This window comes from Homo sapiens, chromosome 2, assembly GCF_000001405.40.
Source record: "Homo sapiens chromosome 2, GRCh38.p14 Primary Assembly".
Taxonomy (NCBI): Eukaryota; Metazoa; Chordata; class Mammalia; order Primates; family Hominidae; genus Homo; species Homo sapiens.
This window is the reverse complement of record NC_000002.12, coordinates 229,743,142-229,753,012: the sequence shown is the minus strand read 5'-3', so window position 1 is coordinate 229,753,012 and position 9,871 is coordinate 229,743,142. Positions and strand designations below refer to the sequence as shown.

General features: G+C 44.0%; 1 annotated feature.

Moving 5' to 3' along the window:
* Positions 8,807-9,627: an enhancer, noted in NCBI's record as "NANOG-H3K27ac hESC enhancer chr2:230608102-230608922 (GRCh37/hg19 assembly coordinates)". NCBI's record gives its function as "activates a minimal SCP1, AML or CMV promoter by ChIP-STARR-seq in primed H9 embryonic stem cells {active_cell/tissue: H9 hESC(primed)}" and the evidence as "EXISTENCE:reporter gene assay evidence [ECO:0000049][PMID:30033119]".

Below are 9,871 nucleotides of genomic sequence, written 5' to 3'. Positions count from 1 at the left end.
AATCACCTGATCCAGACTTCTCATGTTACGGATGAAGAAAGAGGTCAAGAAAGGTGCAGAGACTTGCTTGTATGGCTCCTAAGTGGCAGAGCCGTGGCTAGAACCCAAGACTCAGAGCCCTGGCTTTCAAGACTACTTCGAGACACCTGCGAAGGTTGGTGATAGAGGGAACATGAGAGTCTATCCCCACCCGCCCCTCACTCCCTGTATCCAATGCCAAATCTCTTCCCCAGTATCTTCAACCAGGATCCTGCTCTCGGCCCACCCACCCTGCTCCCCATTCTTCAAGCCATTCTTCCAAAGCTCAAATGATCAAGTCGTTCTTCCCATTTTCATAATAACTTTTCCTGGAAGGGCATTTTATAATTATTTTCCCTATCTGACTTTGTGAATCTAGTGACAGAAACAGTATTTTTGTCATTGCAAAAATGGATGGTTTATAGAAAGTGAATATTTCTAGGGAGTATTTCTCTCTACTCTCATTTTCCCTGAGTTTATTATTGGTTATTTCATGAAAATTTTTCTTAGGTACACTCAAGGGAATAGCAAACACTAGTTTCTTATCTAAATGGCCTTTAGTTAATATTGAGAATAAATTATACCCCAGGGAGAAGGGTATTTCTAGATAAAAAGCTCATCTGTATGTGACATCGAAATTGGCCTCCTTCCTGCTGGTGATTTTATTCCAGTTCAGTCTTTTATAACCATTCTAGGTGACATCTAATTCCCTTTTCCCAAGGTAGCCCTTGAGACATTTGGAGTACACTCTCATTTCTCCTTCTGACTTCCCCATCCTGATATTTTTCTTTCTTTCTTTCTTTCTTTTTGAGACGACGTCTTGCTCTGTTGCCCAGGCTGGAGTGCAGTGGCATGATCTTGGCTCATGGCAATCTCCACCTCCCGGGTTCAAGCGATTCTCCTGCCTCAGCCTCCTGAGTAGCTGGGATTACAGGCACTCACCGCCATGCCCAGCTAATTTTTGTATTTTTAGTAGAGACGGGGTTTCACCATGTTGGTCAGGCTGGTCTCAAACACCTGACCTTGTGATCCACCCTCCTTGGCCTCCCAAAGTGCTGGGATTACAGGCCTAAGCCACCGCGCCCGGCCGACATTTTTCTTCTTAAGGACACCTCACACAGTTCCCTAAATACCCAGTGGCCTTCCTGTCATATCCCTTTGATATGATGCCAAGATTCCTCCTTGCTTTCCCTCAAATACCTGATATCTTGTCACAGATTTATATGTTCCCTCTTCTCATGGTAGTACTTACACCAAAAGAATGATATCCTGTGTGGTCTGGCTGACACATACCGGTGTGAGATGCTCTCTGGTTATAGACACTTAACCTGCGTCCTCAGAGTCAGAGACTGTGTTCACTTTCTTGGCCACCTCTTCATACCGTTAGTTAATGTTGAGCCTGGGGTTGATGTCACCTCTCAATCTACTTTTCCCAGCTCAATGTTTCCAACTGTCTGTGACCCATTTTATTTTATTTTATTTTATTTTATTTTATTTTATTTTATTTTATTTTTGAGAAAGAGTCTGTCACCCAGGCTGGAGTGCAGTGGTGCAATCTCAGCTCACTGCAACCTCTGCCTCCTGGGTTCAAGTGATTCTCATGCCTCAGCCTCCCAAGTAGCTGGGACTACAGGCGTCTGCCACCAAGCCCAGCTAATTTTTGTATTTTTAGTAGAGAGGGGGTTTCACCATGTTGGCCAGGCTGGTCTCGAACTCCTGACCTCAACTGATCCACCTGCCGTGGCCTCCCAAAGTGCTGGGATTACAAGTGTGAGCCACCACGCCCGGATGTGTGATCCACTTTAGACCTCATTCCTGGGCATCTTCGAAGTTTACAATGTAAACTTTTCTTCTTAATAAGTAAAGATAATGACAGCATTTGTGGTAGGCACAGAGAGAAATTTCTATTCTCTGTGGGAGGCAGAGCAGCAGGTAGGCCATAGAGCTCAAGCTTCAGAGGCAGATGAGTGGGCTCATGCCTGGCAGGGCTGGGTACCAGTTGCACAGCCTTGGGGAAGTGACTTTGCTCACCTTTCCTCACCTGAAGGCTGAGAATACTGAGAATGCACTCCTCACGATTAAATGACATCATTTAAATAAGCTGATTTAGGTAGGAACTGACTAGACAAAACATACGTCTCTGCAAAACATTTGATAAGGCCTCTGAAGATATCCTTGTAGGTAAGGGAAGAAATATTGTTTCTACCAACTCCCTATCTCTTGAGATGGAAATACTTGACCAACATGAATTCATCTAAACACACTAGAGGGTGGTTAGAACAGTCCTCATAGTAAGCACTCAGTACCTGCTAGCACTTATTGTTTTTAGTCATTTTTATACTATTTTTCCAATTTGCAGTATTTCTCCCTCACCTCCTCTTCCTCTCTCCTTTCATTCCCTCTACAACCTCCTCACCATAATGCTATTGTAATAGTCAGTTCCTATGGTGCTATACAGAAATACCTGAGGCTGGGTGCATGGCTAATGCCTGTAATCACAACATTTTGGGAGGCTGAGGCAGGAGGATTGCTTGAGCCTGGGAGTTCAAGACCAGCCTGGGCAACATGTTGAAACCCCATCTCTACAAAAAAGTAAAAAAAATTAGCCAGGTGTGGTGGCACGCACTTGTAGTCCCAGCTACTCAGGAGGCTGAGGTGAGAGGATCACTTGCGCCCAGGAGGTGAAGGCTGCAGTCAGCTGTGTTCATGCCACTGCACTCCAGCCTGGGTGACAAAGTCTCAAAAAAAAAAAAAAAAAAAAAAAGAAGAAGAAAAGAAAAAAAGAAAAAAAATCTGAGACTGGGTAATGTATAAAGAAAAGAAGTTTAATTGGTTCATGGTTCTGCAGGGTAGGCAGGAAGCAGCCCCCTGGTCAGGGCCTCAGGAAGCTTCCAGTGCTGGTGGAAGTGGGGTCAGGAGTCTCACATGGCGAGTGAGGAAGTGAGAGAGGGAAGGGGGAATCTCCAAACTTGTAAACAACAAGATCTCATGTGAGCTAACTGAGGCAGAGCTCACTCGTCACCAAGGGGCTGGTGCTGAACCATTCATGCGGGACCCGCCTCCATGACAAAATCACCTCCCAGCAAGCTCCACCTCCCACACCAGGGATCACATTTCAACATGAGATTTAGAGGGGACAAATATCCAAATTATACCAGCTACCTACCCCACGGACACCTAGAATATTAATGTTAGAAGTACCCCGTGTTTTTCTTCTGTACCTATCTTCTTCTTCTTTTTTTTTTTTTTTTTTTTTTTTTTGAGATGGAGTCTCGTTCTTTCACCCAGGCTGGAGTGCAGTGGCGAGATCTTGGCTCACTGCAACCTCTGCCTCCCAGGTTCAAGCGATTCTCCTGCCTCAGCCTCCCCAAGCAGCTGGGATTACAGGTGTGCACCACCATGCCTGGCTAATTTTTGTATTTTTAGTAGAAATGGGGTTTCACCATGTTGGTCAGGCTGGTCTCGAACTTCTGACCTCAGGTGATCTTCCCACCTTGGCCTCCCAAAGTGCTGGGATTACAGCCATGAGCCACCACGCCCAGCCTTCTTCTGTACCTATTCTTTCCCCAAGTCATGTCAGGCCCCAAAACTTAGGTACTGTTGAGTTTTGGGGCCTGACATGACTTAACATTGTCTATGTTAAATAGATGTTGTTGAATGTGGCCCACTGTCCAAATGTATCAAAATCTTTTGAGGTCCTGACTTGGTCATGACACACATTTATCTATTATCTCTCCTGATTTTAAGTCTCTCACACATTGTGTCAATGTGAGAGGGATGCCAGTGGGAATGGGAGCCACCACAGGACAGGACACACACAGAACTGTCTCCTCCTCAACGGCACCACCTCCTGGGGATTAGGATATTTAACTGGCTAGGACTCCAACCAAATGCACTATATACATCAGCTTCTATTTCTCCATTTCGTCTACAAAGCTCTCACAAGAGGCCTAGAACCTGGCAAACTTTTTGCAGAAATTCTCTTAGGAGCCCCATCTAAAAGGAAATGAAGTCAAGCCAAGACCAGATTTGTTCACGGCAGGCCTGTGTTGGCTTCCAGGGATCAATGCGTTCTTTTATGAAGACTGAGACGTCAGCCCAGAGTTAGCATCTGTCTACCTGTGGTGGATGCCTCCTCTGGAAGTTGAATCTGTGGGTACCAGTGTGTCCAGGATTCTGGCATCTGTTTCACTCTGTCACTGTTCACGAAATCAACAATAGTTTGGTAACCTCATCTGCATTTTTCTGCTAGTCCCTGGGTTGTAGTTACCTAGACTGGACACCCAAACTCCCAAACTTCTTCTATTTTTTTTTTTTTTTTTTTTTTTGAGACAGAGTCTTGCTGTGTTGCCCAGGCTAGAGTGCAGTGGCACAACCTCAGCTCACTGCAGCCTTTGTCTCCTGGGTTCAAGTGATTCTCCTGCCTCAGCCTCCCGAGTAGCTGGGATTACAGGCATGCACCACCACGCCTGGCTAATTTTTTGTATTTTTATTAGAGACGGGGTTTCACCATGTTGCCCAGGCTGGTCTTGAACTCATTAGCTCAAGCCATCTGCCCTCTTTGGCCTCCCAAAGTGCTGGGATTACAGGCGTGAGCCACCGTGCCCGGCCACACCCACGCTTCTTTAAGTGAATCAGATGGGCTTGCCCTGCCATTTCATCTTTCCTAGGTGCTCTTGTGCACTCTGATGAGACTTCCATCTGTCGCACTGGCCTGTACTGATCTGTCTATGTCTATTTTGACCTTAGTCTGTGAGCAACTAAACATGTCTTTCACAGTTTCCTCTTCTTTTTATTTCATTGCTTCACATAACTCCTGGAATATAATGAATGCTCAAAAGACACTGGTGAACTGAAATCAGCAATAATGGCCAACATCCATGGAGGGCTTATTATGTGACAGGAATTGTGCTACATGCTTTATACACAATCACATTTAATTCTCACAATAATACTATGAGGTAAATAGTATTATCCTTATCTCACAGGTGAGGCAGTTGAGGTGTAGAGAAGCTGGTTAATTGCCCAAAGTCATGCAGGGCGACAGAAACAAGATCCAAATCCAGGTAATTTGGCCCCAGGCCCTGAGTAAGTGTTAATGTTCATGAAATTCTGAGGGCAACAGGCTGTTAGTTCTTTCTGTTTTTCCTCTGACATAATGCTTTTTAAAAGTACTTTTTACCTACAAATTTTATGATTTGGATAAAACAGACCAATTCCTGGAAGGACACAAACTACCAAAATCCACACAAGGAGAAACAGGTGATCTGAATAGACTTACATCTGTTAAAGAAATTGAATTAATAATGAATAAACATCCAACAAAAAAAGAATTAGGCCCAGATGGTTTCACTGGTGAATTCTACCAAAAATTTACAGAAGAAATTATACCAACTCACCACAATCTCTTCCAGATAATAGGAGCAGAGGGAACACTTACTCATTCTTTGAGGCCAGCATTTGGCTGATACCAAAATAGCAAAACCAGAAAAAGACATTACAAGAAAGGAAAACTGTAGGTTAATACTTGTCATGAACATATATACAAAAATCCTCAACAAAATAGTAACAAATTGAGTTCAACAATGTATAAAAAGAATTATACACTGTGAACAAGTGGGATTTATTTCACATATGCAAGGCTGGCTCAACTTTCAAAAATCAATTAATATAATCCAGCACATCAACAGGCCAAAGAAGAAGAATCATATGATCCTACCAATTGATGCAAAGCAAGCATTTGATAAACTTCAACACCCATTTATGATAAAAACTAAAAAAGCTCTTAAAAAACTAGGAATGAAGGAACGTTTCTCACTTCCTTTTGTCTGTGTGTGGGGTTGGCGAGGATGCTTAAGATCTATTTCAATTTAACAATACAATACAGTATTATTAACAATAGGCAGCATGCTGCGCATTAGATCCCCTACTGGCATCACTATTTTTTTTTTTTTAAGAGACTACACGTGTGAATGAGCGTGGTGGCTCATGCCTGTAATCCCAGTGCCTTGGGAGGCTGAGGTGGGCGGATCACTTGAGGCCAGGGGTTTGAGACCAGCCTGGTCAACATGGTGAAACCCTGTCTCTACTAAAAATACAAAAATTAGCCAGGTGCGACAGCGCATGCCTGTAACCCCAGATATTTGGGGCTGGCTGAGGCATAAGAATTGCTTGAACCTGGGAAGTGAAGGTTGCAGTGAGTCAGGATCGTGCCACTGCATTCCAGGCTGGGCGACAGAGTGAGACTCTGTCTCAAAAAAGAAAAAGAAAAAGAAAAAAAAAAAAAGAGAGAGACTACAGGTGTGGTGTATACCACCACACCTGGCTAATTTTTTAATGTTTGGTGGAGATGAAGTCTCACTATGTTACCCAGGCTGGTCTTGTACTCCTGGCCTCAAGTGATCCTCCCACCTCAGTCTCCCAAAGTGTTGGGATTATAGGCATGAGCCACTGTACCTGGCTTTGGCCTCACTCTTACTGGAATGTTTGGCCAACTTCTGACGTTTATTCTTGACCATGAGAGCTATTTTTTCCCTTCTTGGGAGAATGCACTTTTCTAACTAGGGATCTATGGACAGATTTAAGCAGTCTTAGGGCAAAAAGATGGGAGGCTGATGGAGTGAGTAAAGCTATCCTGGGTTCCGATCCCAGCCTGCCTCTGCCTTCCCACTACTGACTCTTTCTGAGCTTCGGCTTCCTCAGTCAAAAAGTAAGAATGATACTATCTGTCTCATAGTTTAGTTTAGGGGATTAAATTAGATAAAATAACATAAATCCTAAGCCGTGTCTGGCACATGGTAGATAATGAAAGATCAGCCTCTCTTTCTACCTTTCCTCTGCTCACTGGTGTCTCCATCACCTTTGCCTTCTCTTCTACCTTGTCATTACTCAGTAGATGCAATTACAGATTTAACACAATTACAAATAAAATTAAAATATCAGCATGATTATTTGTAAATCTAGGCAAGCTAATTCCTAAATGTATATGGAAAGGCAAATAAACTAGAATAGCCAAAACGACTTTGAAAAAGAAAATTAAAGCTGGAGGAATCCCACTCTCTGACTTTAGGACTTGCTATAAAGTTAGAGTAATCAAGACAGTGTGATATTAGCAAAGGGATTTATATTGGCATATAGATGAATGAAACAGGTAGAGAGTCCAGAAATAGACTCACACATATGTGTTCGACTAATTTTTTGACAAAGATGCAAAGAATGGAGGAAATTCAGTGGAGGAAAGACAGCCTTCTCAACAAATGGCAAAGGAACAATTAGACATCCATAGGCCAAAAAAATGAACTTTGAACTAAACCTCCACCTTATATAAAAATTAACTCAAAACGGAGCATAGAACTGCATGTAAAACAAAAAACTATAAAACAAGGCTGGGACTAGGGTGAAAAAAGGAATGTACCTAGGATGCAAAATTTAAGGAGGCACTCACTTTAGTTATGCAAGTATGATCCTGAAAGTGAGAGGCTTTTTAAATTTTGTGCCCTAGGCACCTCCCTTATGTCACCCTAGTCCAGGTTTTGCTATACAGCTTTAAGAAGAAAACATAAGAGAACATCTTCACAGCCTGAGTTTAAACAAAGGGCTCTTAGCCATAACATAAAACCACAATTTATGAAAGAAAAAAATCAATAAATTGGACTTCTCAAGATTAAGAACTTTTGTCAAAGACACTGGTAAGAGAATTGAAAGACAAATTAACAAACTGGGAGAAAATATTTGCAAATCACATATTTGACCAAGGATTTGTATATGTAATAGACATATATTCTGGTACATTGTATACAGAATATGTAAAGAGCTCTCAAAACAGAACAATACAAAAAGAAACAATCTAATGAAAAAGTGGACAAAGGACTTGGTTATTTGCCAAAGAGTGCTATGGTCTGAATGTGTCCCCTGAAATTCATATGTTGAAAGTTATTCACCAATGTGATAATATTATGAGGCAGAGACTTTAGAAGGTCACTGAGTCATGGGAGTGGGATTAGGGCCCTTATGAAAGGGATTGAGGGAGTGGATTTGCCCCTTTCCATCTTTTCCACCATGTGAAGACACAGCGTTCATTCATAGGACACCATCTTGGAAGCAGAAAGCTGGCCTCATCAGACATCAAATCTGCTTCTTGATCATGGACTTCCCATCCTCCCAGAACTGTAAGAAATACATTTCTATTGTTTATACACTACCCAGTCTAAGGTATTTTGTTATAGAAGCACAAACAGACCAAGACACATTATATACAGATGGAAAATAAGTATATGGGAAGACGTTTAAAAGCATTAGCCATTAGGAAAATGCAAATTAAAACCATAATTAGGTATAGTGATACACCATAAAATGCAAATTAAAACCATAATTAGTGTATGGTGATACACCAATTAGAATACTAAAATAAAAAATACTGACAATACCAAGTGCTGATGAAAATGGGAGCAACTGGAACTCTCCTACATGGCTGATGAGAAAGGAAAATGGTACAGCCACTCTGAAAAACAGTTTGGCAATTTCATAGAAAGTTAAACCTACACTTACCACATGAGCCAGCAGACGCATTTCTACTTATTTACCTCAGAGAAATGAAAACGTATGTTTGCACAAAAACCTGTACACAGTATTCATAGCAACTTGCTTCATAATTGTCAAAAACAGCAAACAACCGAAATATCATTCCATGGATGAATGGATTTAAAAAAGCCCTGTGGTACATTTACACAATGGAATACTACTTATCTATCAAAAGGAATGAGCTGTTGATAGATGCAACAACTTGGATGATTCTCAGAGGCATGCTGAATGAAAGTAGTCAACCTTTTTATTTTTTTTAATTTAATTAATTAATTTATTTATTTATTTTTATTGATCATTCTTGGGTGTTTCTCGCAGAGGGGGATTTGGCAGGGTCATAGGACAATAGTGGAGGGAAGGTCAGCAGATAAACAAGTGAACAAAGGTCTCTGGTTTTCCTAGGCAGAGGGCCCTGCGGCCTTCCGCAGTGTTTGTGTCCCTGGGTACTTGAGATTAGGGAGTGGTGATGACTCTTAACGAGCATGCTGCCTTCAAGCATCTGTTTAACAAAGCACATCTTGCCCCGCCCTTAATCCATTTAACCCTGAGTGGACACAGCACATGTTTCAGAGAGCACAGGGTTGGGGGTAAGGTCACAGATCAACAGGATAAGAATTTTTCTTAGTACAGAGCAAAACGAAAAGTCTCCCATGTCTACCCCTTTCTACACAGACATGGCAACCATCCGATTTCTCAATCCTCTCCCCACCTTTCCCCCCTTTCTATTCCACAAAACTGCCATTGTCATCATGGCCCGTTCTCAATGAGTTGTTGGGTACACCTCCCAGACGGGGTGGTGGCCGGGCAGAGGGGCTCCTCACTTCCCAGTAGGGGCGGCCGGGCAGAGGTGCCCCTCACCTCCTGGACGGGGTGGCTGGCCAGGAGGGGGGCTGACCCCCCCACCTCCCTCCCGGACGGGGCGGCTGGCTGGGCGGGGGGCTGATTCCCCCACCTCCCTCCCGGACGGGGTGGCTGGCCGGGCAGAGGGGCTCCTCACTTCCCAGTAGAGGCGGCCGGGCAGAGGTGCCCCTCACCTCCCGGACGGGGCGGCTGGCCGGGCGGGGGGCTGACCCCCCCTCCACCTCCCTCCCGGATGGGGCGGCTGGCCGGGCAGAGGGGCTCCTCACTTCCCAGTAGGGGCGGCTGGGCAGAGGCGCCCCTCACCTCCCGGACGGGGCGGCTGGCCGGGTGGGGGGCTGACCCCCGCCACCTCCCTCCCAGACGGGGCGGCTGGCCGGGCAGGGGGCTGACCCCCCCACCTCCCTCCCGGACG